Source organism: Homo sapiens, chromosome 3 (genome assembly GCF_000001405.40).
Source record: "Homo sapiens chromosome 3, GRCh38.p14 Primary Assembly".
In the NCBI taxonomy this organism is placed as follows: domain Eukaryota; kingdom Metazoa; phylum Chordata; class Mammalia; order Primates; family Hominidae; genus Homo; species Homo sapiens.
The window spans coordinates 138,790,371-138,804,199 of NC_000003.12; the positions used below are offsets into that span (position 1 = coordinate 138,790,371).

General features: G+C 43.1%; 1 protein-coding gene and 1 pseudogene across 13 annotated transcripts in view, besides 2 other annotated features; one reads left to right on the forward strand and one right to left on the reverse strand.

The window, feature by feature from the left end:
- PIK3CB (phosphatidylinositol-4,5-bisphosphate 3-kinase catalytic subunit beta) overlaps positions 1–13,829 on the reverse strand; it is a 182,231-nt gene that overhangs the window by 137,673 nt on the left and 30,729 nt on the right. For 9 of the 13 annotated variants that reach the window (NM_001437289.1, NM_006219.3, NM_001437293.1 and 6 more), the window contains exon 2: positions 6,093–6,197. The exons of 2 other annotated variants lie outside the window; for them this stretch is intronic. The gene's annotated coding sequence lies outside the window, so the exon portion shown is untranslated. Of the gene's footprint in view, positions 1–5,558; positions 5,623–6,092; positions 6,198–13,829 lie in introns of all 13 variants that reach the window. 2 more of the 13 variants (XM_047448307.1, XM_047448310.1) reach the window with 1 other exon arrangement.
- Positions 646–855: an enhancer, noted in NCBI's record as "active region_20605". NCBI's record gives its function as "activates an Ori minimal core promoter by ATAC-STARR-seq in GM12878 lymphoblastoid cells {active_cell/tissue: GM12878}" and the evidence as "EXISTENCE:reporter gene assay evidence [ECO:0000049][PMID:35858748]".
- Positions 1,136–1,205: an enhancer, noted in NCBI's record as "active region_20606". NCBI's record gives its function as "activates an Ori minimal core promoter by ATAC-STARR-seq in GM12878 lymphoblastoid cells {active_cell/tissue: GM12878}" and the evidence as "EXISTENCE:reporter gene assay evidence [ECO:0000049][PMID:35858748]".
- RPL23AP40 (ribosomal protein L23a pseudogene 40) lies at positions 6,481–6,869 on the forward strand (annotated as a pseudogene).

The following is a 13,829-nucleotide window of genomic DNA, read 5'->3' on the forward strand; positions in this document are numbered from 1 at the left end:
GTGAGGCCAAGGTGGGCAGATCACTTCAGCTCAGGAGTTCGAGGCCAGCCTGAGAAACAGGGCAAAACCCTGTCCTCATTAAAAAAAAAAAAAAGCAAAATGATAAATTTTATATTGTGTGTATTTCACCAATTTTTTTTTTTAAACCCTGAGACCGGGCACGGTGGCTCATGCCTGGAAGCCCAGCATTTTGGGAGGCCGAAGCGGGCAGATCATGAGGTCAGGAGATTGAGACCATCCTGGCTAACACAGTGAAACCCCATCTCTACTAAAAATACAAAAAAAAAAAAAAAATTAACTGGGCGTGGTGGCGGGTGCCTGTAGTCCCAGCTACTCGGGAGGCTGAGGCAGGAGAATGGCGTGAGCCCAGGAGGCAGAGCTTGCAGTGAGCCAAGATCGTGCCACTGTACTCCAGCCTAGGTGACGGAGTGAGACTCCTTCTCAAAAAAAAAAAAAAAAGAAAAAACCCTGAGTCCCAGCTACTCAGGAGGCTGAGGCAGGAGAATCACTTGAACCTGGGAGGTGGAGGTTGCAGCAAGCCGAGATCACACCACTGCACTCCAGCCTGGGCAACAGAGTGAGATTCCACCTCAAAAACAAAACAAAACAAAAAACCTGAAGCCAAATAAACTTGTCCATTATGAACTTACAGGCCCTCTGTGCCTCCAACTCACCTTTTTCAACGCTTCCTACCTCCCTGTGGTGTTCAAAAATCTGTTTTATTGTACACCCTCTTCTCTCATCTTCACTTTCAGATACTTCAAACATCTGACCTCATGGTTGTTTTTTTTTTGAGATGTCTTGCTGTGTCACCCAGGCTGGAGTGCAGTGGTGCAATCTCGGCTCACTGCAACCTCCACCTCTCAGGCTCAAGCAATCCTCTAGCCTCAGTCTCTCGAGTAGCTGGGACTACAGGCATGCGCCACCACGCCCGACTGATTTTTACATTTTTTGTAGTGATGGGGTTTTACCATGTTGCCCAGACTGGTCTCTAACTCAAGGGATCTGCCCGTCTCAGCCTCCCCAACTGTTGGGATTACAGGCGTGAGCCACTGCACCTGGCGGCCTCACAATTCTTCAGCCTGAAGTTACACCTCTCAGCCACAGCTTGACCTTTCACTTCCCACCACAACCTCACTCCTGGATCTGCAGCTCCACCATCATACAGAGAAAAAGGCCTGACTCTGGTCTACAACTTGACTCAAGCCTCTACCACATTCACAATGATGATGTCAGCTCCTACTACCTCCACCCTCACTTACTTCAATGCAGCCACTCCGGCCCTCTTGCAGCTCATAGAACACATCAAGCACATCCAGCTTCAAACACTTTGTATTTAAGTTCCTTCAGTCTAAAATGCCCTCCCCACCCTATCCAAAATACCCAGAGGGCCTGCTCCCTCACTTCATTTGGAGCTGCCAACTCAAATGTCACCTAATCAGAGAGGTCTTCCCTAACTTTACCTTAGTAAACATATCCCTCCTTCATCAATGTCTACTTTTCCCTAATATATTTCCATACCTTAATGACAATGGCAAACAAGGTATAAATCTTCAAAATAACACTTATCACCACCCAACATATTATATAGTAGGCCCTCCATATCTGTGTGTTCTATATCGGTGGGTTCCACATCCATGAATACAACCAACTATGAATCGAAAATATTGGATGCGGGGCCAGGCCTGGTGGTGCATGCCTGTAATTCCAGCTACTCTGAAGGCTGAGGCAGGAGAATCGCTTGAACCAGGGAAGTGGAAGTTGCAGTGAGCTGAGATCGCGCCATTGCACTCCAGCCTGGGCAACAAAGTGACACTCCATTTCAAAAAATTAAAGAAAAAAAAGAAATATTGGATCGGGTAATGGTTCTGTTGTGCCTGTACTAAACATGTACAGACTTTTTTCTATTGTCATTATTCCCTAAATAATACAATAACACCTATTCACAAGGCATTTACATTGTATTAGGTATTATAATTTTTTTCATTTTCCAGGTTACCATTGAGATAATTTTTGTTTTTTGAGACACAGTCTCGCTCTGTTGCCCGGCTGAAGTGCAGTGGTAGGATCTGGGCTCACTGCAGCCTCGACCTCCTGGGCTCAAGCAATCCTTCCACTTCAGCCTCCCAAGTAGGCGGAACTGCAGGCATTCGCCACCATGCCTGGCTAATTACAAGTGTGGGCCACTGTACTCAGCTTGCATACAGTTTAAATATTAAAAAGAGTAATTAAGTTTTTACTCAGAAGAGGTAAGAAGTTTGATTGAGATCAAAGACATAGGTAAAGGGTTTAGCTCTTAGAAGAGTAGCAATCTTTCTGCTTAGAAACTAGAGGACTGGAAGAGAGGATATATCAAGGAATTTTTAGGCAAAGAGGAAGAAGCTGTAGGATTTCTTTTCTCCTTCTCTTTCTCTCCCCCTCCCCTCCAACAGGGTCATACTCTGTTGCCCAGACTGGAGTGCAGTGGTCCAATTACAGCTCACTGCAACCTTGAATTCCTGGGCTCATGAAATCTTCCTGCCTCAGCTTCCTCAGTAGCCAATATTACACGTGTGTGCCACCACACCCAGCTAAGTGTAGGATTTCTTATCTTACTTTTTTTAATAATGTAGGGATTGAGGTTATCTATTCGGCATATAGTTAATTAGTGGTGAGGTTGGGATCCTGGGAGAAGAAAGCATTTAGGAAAAACATAGGGCAGCTACCAAATTCACCAAATATTTACTGACCACCTGCATTGTGCCAGGCACTCTTGTAGACAAGATTAGTGTTCTCGTGGAGCTAATCACTGGAGTGAACAAGAACAATACCAAATTGTAATGTGATATGAAAAGAATTAAAATATGGCAGTTGATAGTGACTGGTTATCTTCTTCTGAGGAGGTGACATTAAGATCTGAAAGACAAGAATTTAACCAAACTAAAAGAAAATCAAGCTATGTAAGTTTAAACCTCGCTGGGCATGGTGGCTCACGCCTGTAATCCTAGCACTTTGGGAGGCCGAGGGGGGCGGATCCCGCGAGGTGAGGAGTTTGAGACCAGCCCCGTCAACATGGTGAAACCCCGTCTCTAATAAAAATACAAAAATCAGTCGAGCATGACGGCACATGCCTATAATTGCAGCTACTCGGGAAGCTGAGGCAGGAGAATCGCTTGAATCTGGGAGGCAGAGGTTGCAATGAGCCAAGATCACACCATTGCACTCCAGCCTGGGCGTTGCAGCGAGACTCTGGCTCAAAAAAAAAAAAAAAAGTTTAAACCTCAAGGTGGAAATGAGCTGATTGTGTTTGAGGAATGGAAAGAATTCCAGTGTTTCTACAATAAGGTGGATGAGGACCATAGTGTCATGAGATGAGATTAAAGAAGTTGACCAGGCACTGTGGCTCCCATCTGTAATCCCAGCACTTTGGGAGGCCAAGGCAGGAGGATCGCTTAAGGCTAGGAGTTTGAAAACAGCCTGAGCAACATAGTGAGGCACCATCTCTTAAAAAAATTTCAGATTGAAGAAGTAGGCAGAGCCAGGCCACGTAGTGTTCTGTGGCTGTGGTAAGGAGTTTAGACTCAAAGTCTTGTGAGTTCTTTTTGTTTGTTTTTTGTTTTGTTTTGTTTTGAGATGGAGTTTCGCTCTTGTTGCCCAGGCTGGAATGCAATGCCGCGATCTCAGCTTACTGCAACCTCCACCCTCCAGGTTCAAGAGATTCTTCTGCCTCAGCCTCTCAAGTAGCTGGGATTACAGGTGCCCGCCACCATGCCCAGCTAATTTTTTGTATTATTAGTAGAGATCAAGTTTCATCATGTTGGCCAGCTGGTCTCCAACTCCAGACCTCAGGTGATCCACCTGCCTTGGCCTCCCAAAGTGCTGGGGTTACAGGCGTGAGTCACAGCACCCAGCATCTTGTGAGTTTTTAAGCATAAAAGTGGTATGACATGATATATGCCTTAGAGTCCTCTGTTTTATTGAAGATGAATTACAGGTGCAGAGTGGAAGCACAAAAGTCAGTTAAGAGGCTGTTGCAACTAACCAGACCAGAGACGGTGGAGAAATTTAATATGATTGCTGAGCAATAGTAAAGGCCTAGTTTGAGATAAGCTAGCATGACATGGCAGGCAGTATGAATTTAGCTAGCATAACCTTTTAGGTGAACATGAGAAATTTGACACTGGTAATTGAAATAACTGTCTATGAGATGCAGGATTGATAAAGGGGATGCATCAAGGCACTGGAGGCCATTATATACTGAATACATATTTACCGAGCATTTACTAATATACCAAGAACTCTGCTAGCTGCTAGGGTTACAACAGTGAACAAAAACAGAGGTCCATTTCTCATGGAGTTGATATGCTAATGAGGACAGAGAAGATAAACAATAAATATATAGTCATCTGTGGTATCTGGGGGGAATTGTTTCCAGAACCCTTGCAGACACCAAAATCCAGAAATGCTCAAGTTCCTGATATTAAATTGTATGGTCTTTGCATACAACCTATGCATATCTTCTTGTATACTTTAAATCACCTCTTGCTGGGTGAGCCTGGTGGCTTACACCTGTAATCCCATCAAGAGGCTGAGGCAGGAGGATCACTTGAGCCCAGAAGTGATAGCATCACTGGACTCCAGCCTGAGTGACAGACTGAGACCCCATTTTCTTAAAAAAAAATTATCTCAGCCGGGCGCGGTGGCTCACGCCTGTAATCCCAGCACTTTGGGAGGCCGAGGCAGGCAGATCACCTGAGGTCAGGAGTTCGAGACTAGCCTGGCTAACATGGTAAAACCCCGTCTCTACTAAAAATACAAAAATTAGCCGACCATAGTGGTGGGTGCCTGTAATCCCAGCTACTTGGGAGACTGAGGCAGGAGAATCACTTGAAACCGGGAGGCGGACGTTGCAGTGAGCCGAGATCACACCACAGCACTCCAGCCTGGGTGACAGAGCATGAGACTCTGTCTTTTAAAAAAAAAAAAAAAAAAAAAGGCCCAGCATGGTGACCCATGCCTATAATCCCACCCAGCACTTTGGGAGGTTGAGGCGGGCAGATCACCTGAGGTCAGCAGTTCGAGACCAGCCTGGTCAACATGGTGAAACCCCATCTCTATTAAAAATACAAAAATTAGCTGGGCGAGGTGGCACACGCCTGTAGTCCCAGCTACTTGAGAGGCTGAGGCAGGGGAATAGCTTGAAAATGGGAGGCAGAGGTTGCAGTTAGCCAAGATGGTGCCACTGTACTCCAGCCTGTGACAGAGCAAGACTCCGTTTCAAAAAAACAAAAATAAAAATAATTGGGCATTAATTGATCTATAGGAGATTTGAACCAGGATATATGGTTACCCTAACTATAACTCCAGTGCTTAAGGAAGTGATGACTGCAGCTATATTACATATGGGTTTAATAAATGAAATAGCTGAAATATTTAGATTTTATCACCTCCTCTTTACTCTTCACTCCACTGCAACCTGATTTTCAGCCATAAACAGTCTCCTAAAATGGCCCCTGCTGGGATCATCAATGAATTCCTAACTGTCAAATCCAAAAAAGTTTCTTCAGTTTTCAACTAACCTGTCTAAAGAGCTTTCAACACTACTGACACTCCTCTCTGCTTCATGAAGTTCTGTTCTTAACTCTGTAGGAAACATAATCCTCAATAACAGACTATCTTCAAACAAGACCTAGCATCCCCCCTACTCCCACTCCCTCCCTACCTCATAGGTTAACTAAAAGATTCATAATCTGCTGGGAGCAGTGGCTCATGCCTGTAATCCCAGCACTTTGGGAGGCCAAGACGGGCAGATCACTTGAGGTCAGGAGTTCAACACCAGCCTGGCCAACATGGTGAAACCCCGTCTCTACTAAAAATACAAAAATATTAGCCGGGCATTGTGGCATGTGCCTGTAATCCCAGCTACTCAGGAGGCTGAGGCAGGAGAATTGCTTGAACCCAGGAGGCAGAGGTTGCAGTGAGCCGAGATTGCACCACTGCACTCCAGCCTGGGCAACACAGCAAGACTCCACCTCAAAAAAAAAAAAAAAAAAAAAAAGATTTATACTCTAACCAATATATAAGTAATTAAAAATACAAAATTGGATACTTACCTAAGAATGGTCGCCCCCATTTCAGTCTTTTAGGAAAACAGATGGCATTACTTATTTTTTAAAAGTGACGTTTTCATGGAAGACTTTTTCCAGTTAAAACATACACTACAAAAAAGGTTGAAGACAAAAGTATTAATCTAAATGAGCTAAATTAAGTCACGTAAATTTTATTACTTATATATGTAATCACTTCTTAATGCTACACATTTTAAAATATGTAGGTTGAAGATCTAATGAGGCTGAAGATCTTTGCTCTCAGATTTTGGCCATTTTCTTATTGGATTGGCTTTTTCTAATTAATTAGTAGGCTTTATATATTCAGGACCAGGACAGACAACATAATTTGCAGAGCACAGTGCAAAATAAAAAGTGAGGCCTTTTCACCAAGATGGCACCAAAGAGAAAAAGGAAGCCCCTGCCTCTCCCAAAGCTGAAGCCAACAAAGGCTTTAAAGGCCAAAAACACACTGCTGAAAGATATCCGCATGCTACCCACCTTCAGGCTGCCCCAAGACACTGCAGCCAAAATATACTAGGAAGAGCACTCCCAAGAAAAACACGCTTAATCCTGACCAATGAGAAGACGGAAGACCACACCACACTTGCATTAGTTGTGTATGTCAAAGCCAACAAGCGCCAGATGAAACAAGCTGTGAAGAAGCTCTAGGACACTGACATGGCCAAGGTCAACACCCGGATTGAGTCTGCCAGAGAGAAGGCATATATTCAACAGATTCCTGACTATGATGCTTTGAATGTTGCCAACAAAACTGGAATAACCAAAACTGAGCTCAGCTGGCAAATTCCAAATATAAATTTTTCACCATAAAAACATTTTAAAATAAGTAAATAAAAATGTTGGGCTACTTTTTCAAAAATTAAGAATTTCAAGACGGTGACAGCTTACCAGTAAACTAAGCACGGGGACCATCTAAATGAGGGGTCCTGCGTGACTGCACAGATTGCACACCCATGAAGCCAGCCCTGGTCACGACCCTAATTCCCTATTACATATATTACAATTATTTTTCCCAAAACATGTGGCATGTTTTCACTTTCTTTAAGGTGTCTTTTGATGAAGATGAATTTTTTAAATGAGAGGAACATTATAAAACAAATTTCAGAACAATTTCGAAGTACATAAAGCTGATTGTTTTTCCAAAAGTAAGAAAATTGGTGAACTCAAAAATAACAAACTTGTTTATTCAGGATGTTGATAGTGGGGGAAGCTATGCATGTGTGGGTACAGTTATGACTGTGTAGGGTAATGGGTGTATGTGAAAACTCTCTGTACTCCTGCTCAATTTTGCTGTGAACCTAAAACTACTCCTAAAAATAAAATCCAGGGCCAGGAGTGGAGACATGTGCCTGTGATCCAGTTACTCAGAGGCCAAGGTGGAAAGATCACTTGAATCCAGGAGGCTCAGGCTGCAGTGAACCAAGATCACACCACTGCACTCCAGGCTGGGCAACAGAAATAGACCCTGTCTCAAAAAAAAAGAAAAAGGAAAAAAATCCTATATACTCTATGGAAAGATTTTCTGTGTAAATCTCTATTCTTAAGTGAAAAACACACTGTGCAAGGGGGAAGGTGGGAAGACCAATTTGCAAAATAACAGTTATAATATGCTACCTTTGAGATTGGTGGATTTTAGGGTAAAGATAGAAAGAAACAAGAATCTGCAGTTATTTATTTATTTATCTTTTTTTTCTTTTTGTTTTTGAGACAGTCTTACTCTGTTGCCCAGGCTGAAGTGTGGTGGCACAATAGCAGCTCACTGCACCCTAGAACTCCCCGGCCTCGGGTGATCCTCCACCTCAGCCTCCCAGGTAGCTGGGACTAGAGACGTGCACCACCACGCCCGGCTAATTTTTGTATTTTTAGTAGAGATGGGGTTTCACCATGTTGGTCAGGCTGGTCTCGAACTCCTGACCTCGTGATCCACCCACGTCAGCCTCCCAAAGTGCTGGGATTACAGGCGTGAGCCACTGTGCCTGGCCAGGAATCTGTATTTTTATTGTCTTTATTTATATAAAGAAACTCTAGAAGGTTACATGAGAAATTGAACAATAGTTTCCTAGGTGGGGTGGAGCATTGGAGGAATGGTGTGAATAGAAACAAGGTAGCTGAGGGATATAGGTGGGAAAGACTTTCCACTTGTTTTTGTATTTAAAAGTATTTCTAACTCCAGGATAATCCATTACTACAATACATATAGATTAGTAAATGAATGAACCAAAATAGGGCCTAAATACTATCAACACAAACACACAATAACAGGACCTATTCTTTTACCATCTCTGGAACTAAGACCTTAGCACTGCCCACCTCACTGAAGTCATCAACCCAAGATCTCTAACACTAGTCCCCTTGGAAAAGGATATTTTCTCCATAATTCCATGTTGCTTCTCTCGGGGTCCGGGTCAACTTTTTCTCCCCTAGCTATACAAAGTCTCATGTCTCTTCTGAACAAAAGCCTCACCAAGCCAGGCACAGAGATGTAAGCCTGTAATCCAGTTACTTGGGAGGCCAGAGGATCACTTGAGCCCATAAGTTCAAGACCAGACTGGGCAACATGGCGAAACCCAATCTCTACTAAAAATACAAAAATTAGCCGGGCGTGGTGGTGTATGCCTATAATCCCAGCTACTCGGGAGGCTGAGGCTATGCTGTTCCAACACCCTCCAAATCTGTCTCTCTGCTTCAAATCTTACTTTTTTTTTTTTTTTTTTTGAGACAGAGTCTCACTCTGTCGCCCAGGCTGGAGTGCAGTGGCATGATCTTGACTCACTACAACCTCCACCTCCCCGGTTCAAGCAATTCTCCTGCCTCAGCCTCCCAAGAGGCTGGGATTACAGGTGCCTGCTACCACATCTGGCTATTTTTTTTTGTATATTTAGTAGAGATGGGGTTTCACCATATTGGCCAGGCTGGTCTTGAACTCCTGACCTTGTGATCTGCTCGCCTCAGCTTCCCAAAGTCAAATCTTACCTCTCTACAATTAATCCGCACCAGATCAACCAGAATGTACCTTGTACAGCATAAATCATATCACTGGAGTGATCTGCTTAAAACCTTCCAAAGGCTTCCTGCTGTTAACCCTACCTGCGTTACAACTATGAACTACTAAGACCCTACATGATATTAAAAATGACCTACCCTATATGATCTGGTATCTGTCTACAACTAACCTCATCTTTTTTCTTTTCTTGTTTTTTTGTTTGTCTGTTTTTGAGACAGGTTCTTGCTCTGTCACCCAGCCTGTTGTGCAGCAGCATGATCACGGTTCACTGCAGCCTCAACCTCCTAGGCTCTAGGGATCCTCCCACCTCAGCCTCCCTAGTAGCTGAGACCTCAGGTGTGTGCCACCACGCCTGCCTAATTTTTGTTATTTTTTGCAGAGACAGGGTTTTGCCATGTTGCCCAGGCTGGTCTCGAACTCCTGTGCTCAAGAGATCCACCCACTTCAGCCTCTAAAAGTGCTGGGATTACAGGCATAAGCCACCATGCCAGGCTCTGACCTCATCTGCTTTCCTCTTCATTCAACTACTCTCTAGCCTTACTGGTATATTTTCTCTTCCTCACACTTTGTTCCTATTTAGGGCTCTTGTACATGCTGTTCTTTCAGCTTGCAATGTGCTGCCTCCAGGTCTTCTGCCACTTCATAACATTTACGTTTTAACTCCAAGTTACCTCTTCTAAGAGGCATTCTACACAGTCTCACAGTTAAGATAGCAACCTAGGTCATTATCTACCACATTACTTTATCATCTTTATAACATTTATTAATACTCACAATTCTCATTTATTAATATAAATGTTTCTTCTACTGGAGAATAGAACAGTCTTGAGGATAACTTTTAACCCATGACACTTTTTTTTTTTTTTAAACAGAGTCTTTGTCACCCAAAGATTGCAGTGGTGCAATCATGGCTCACTGCAGCCTTGACCTCCTGGGCTAGGGATCCTCCCACTTCAGCCTCTTGAGTAGCTGGGACTACAGGCGTGTGCCACCACACCCGACTTTTTTTTTTTTGTAGGGATGGGGTCTACTATGTGGTCCAGGCTGGTCTCAAACTCCAGGGCTCAAGCAATCCTCCCACCTCAGGCTCTGAAAGTGCTGGCATTACAGGCTTGAGCCACTGCACCCAGCTACAACTCTATTATTATTATTATTTTTGAGACGGAGTCTCACTCTGTCACCCATGCTGGAGTGCAGTGGTGTGATCTTGGCTCACTGCAACCTCTATCTTCCAGGTTCAAGTGATTCTACTGCCTCAGTCTCCTGAGTACCTGGGATTACAGGTGTGTGCCACCACGCCCAGCTAATTTTTATAGTTTTAGTAGAGATGGGTTTTCGCCATGTTGGCCAGGCTGGTCTCGGACCTCCTGACCTCAGGTAATCTACCCACCTAGGCATCCCAAAGTACTGGGATTATAGGCGTGAGCCACCGTGCCCGGCCTATTTTTTAACTTTTCTATTAATTCTGAATTATTTCAAAATCACATACATATAAATTTCACACTAAAAAAGAATAGATTCAGGAAACATTTTTTAAAAACCCCCATGTCCTCTTTCTTCTTACTCAATTCATTATGTAGGATGTAGCCTACTTATTACAGTAAGTTCGATAAAAGTTTACCTATTCTCAAACAGGTAATTAGGGGTAAGACTTCTAACAAAATTCTCTAGGCACAGTAAAAATGAGATGACAAGTCAAAAAAGCAAGTAGAACAGGTACCCATTATAATGAAATGAGGTGATATAGCAAGAGTATTATTTTTTAAATAACGATAATCTACACAGGAATGAGCAGTTGTACCATAGCAATTTGTATCAAATATCAGAGCCTCCCCATTTTATGTTCATTGTGTGCTTCTGGATCATGCCACCGCCATTATCAATGCATTAAATGGATAAAATTACCTATATTCAAAGTTGTAAGAATGACAGAATAGGTATGTTTATAGTTGAAAACAGTCACAGGGCAGGTGCAGTGGCTCATGCCTGTAATCCTAAAGCTTTGAGACACTAAGGAAGGAGGACTGCTTGAGCTCAGGAGTTAGAGGACAGCCTGGACAATGTAGCAGATCTCGTCTCTAAAAAAAAATAAAAATAAAAAATTAGCCAGGCGCGGTAGCTCACACCTGTAATCCCAGCACTTTGGGAGGCCGAGGCAGGTGGATCAGGAGGTCAAGAGATCATCCTGGCCAACATGGTGAAATCCTGTCTCTACTAAAAATACAAAAATTAGCTGGGCATGGTGGCGCGTGCTTGTAGTCCTAGCTACCAGGGAGGCTGAGGCAGGAGAATTGCTTGAACCCGGGAGGCAGAGGTTGCAGTGAGCAGAGATTGGGCCACTGCACTCCAGACTGGTGACAGAGCAAGACTCCATCTCAAAAAAAAAAAAAAAAAAAAAGATAAAGAAAAAAATTAGCTGGGTGTGTTGGTGCACACATGTAATCCTAGCCACTTGGGAGGCTGAGGCAGATGGGTCACCTGAGCATAGTTCAAGGCTGCAGTGAACTATGATGGTGCCACTGAACTCCAGCCTGGGCGAAGCAGCAAGATCCTGTTTCTAAAAACAAAAACAAAAAAGAAGAAAAAGAAAGAAGGAAAGAAAAGGGGAGCCAGGCACAGTGGCTCACACCTATAATCTCAGAACTTTGGGAGGTCGAGGCAGGTGGATCACTCGAGGTCAGGAGTTCAAGACCAGCCTGGCCAACACAGTGAAACCCCGTCTCTACTAAAAATACAAAAAAAAAAAAAATCCAGGCATGGTGGTGGGCGCCTATAATCCCAGTTACTCGGGAGGCTGAGGCAGAAGAACTGCTTGAACCCAGGAGGTGGAGGTTGCAGTGAGCCGAGATCGCGCCATTGCACTCCAGCCTGTGTGACAGAGACTCCATCTCAAAAAAAAAAGAAAGAAAGAAAGAAAGAAAAGGGAAGGGGGAAAGTAGAAAGGGGAAAGGAAAGAGTGGCGGAGGAAAGGAGGGAAAGAGGGCAAGAGGGAGGGATTCTCATCTCTATTGAGATATTACAAGTTCCCTTGCCTGTGGAAAACTCCATTGTTAATTTGTGAGGGGAAAAAAAAAAAGAGAGAAAAAAGGGCAAATAGTATTGTTACTTTAAAAAAAAGTTTTGACCTTCCAGAGCTCAGGGACCTCTCAGGGTCCCCATACTGTATTTTGAGTACCAATCCTGCTCTATTCTGTGGTCCACAATACCCTAGATAGGATCTCTATCTATCATTTGTATTTACCCCAACATATCAGAATTATCTGTTCATTTGCCAGTCTCTCTTGAGGTTTCTTAAAACTAAAACCATGAGCCATGAATCTTCTTCAACTTTGCACCCCCAGTGCCTCATACAGCACACAATACATATCCTCTCAAAAATGTTCCATGAATAAATGATGGATATAGGAAAATATTCACACACTCTAATACATTAATATAAAGGTGTATGTGAATAAAGCGGAGTTTCCCATGGCCAACTCTTTAGCTAAAAGAAATGTACAAAAGAAAAATCTTATGATAAATTGACAGCAATGCAAGAAGTAGAATAAAAGATATAGTCAAACCTGGTATGACCACATTAGATCAGAACTTTTCAGAAAGTTCAGACCTGAGGGAACAAGGAAAGCAGATTCTAAAGGGCATCTTAAACTGTAAACAAACACCCACTGCTCCAGTCTTCCACCAGAATAAAAAGTATCCACCTCTGCAAGCAGACAATTAAACCACTGTTTTTAAAAAGGTTGGGAAGGGAGGTGGTGTCAAGGCAGGGAGAGTTCCAGAGACTGGATGACTAAGAAAGAACATAAATAAGTATTCTCACCTTATGAAACTTATGTATATTTTAAATTTTGTCAAATTAGAATATGAGAAAACATATTTTCCTGTCTTTATTTGCATTAGTTTCTAAATCAATACCTCTTTCCATTTCTATGAATGACCTCTATCCTCCCAAACCAAGTAAACACCAACATGATAGCATTACTGAACACAGGACACACATTTGCCTCTCTTGCTTATTATTACACGTGGCCAGTACCTTGATGCTTAACAAATATATCTAGATTGTTCATTAATTGGATATATGCAGCAGCACGTGGGCCAAGGGAAAAGAATTCCTTTTGCAGAAAAGTCCTGGGATGAGGCTGGGGCAAGGTGTCACACAAGCCAAGACATGAAAGAAGCTCTTGGAAGAGGCTCAGGTGTGGAGGGAAAATTCTATGCTGAGTTTTACCATGAAGGCACTAGGGAAGTCACTGGAGCTGATGGCCTCCTTCTCTGGGCCTCCATTCTCAAACACAACATGAAGCTCTAAAATGCTTAGGCTCTCTACCTTGATTTTCAGAAAGTCTCTGTGGCTTGTCTATCTAGGAAAGTTCCAGCCTCTCAGCAGAATGAATTTGACATTCCAAAGATGTGAATTTTGACCAGAATCAATTCACTGGAGGCCCACATCAATACATAAAGCATTCAATTATTGTTAGATAATTTACAAACAGGTTAATACTGTTACCACATATTCTAGATAAGAAAATAGGTATAGAAGCAACCTGACTGACAGGCCAGGTGCAGTGGCTCACACTTATAATCCCAGCACTCTGGGAGGCTGAGGCAGAAGGATTGCTTGAGCCCAGGACAACATAGCAAGAATCCATCTCTACAAAAAATTTTTTAAAAAAAGAAGAAGTAACCTCACAAATCACTTGGCCTCTTATAGA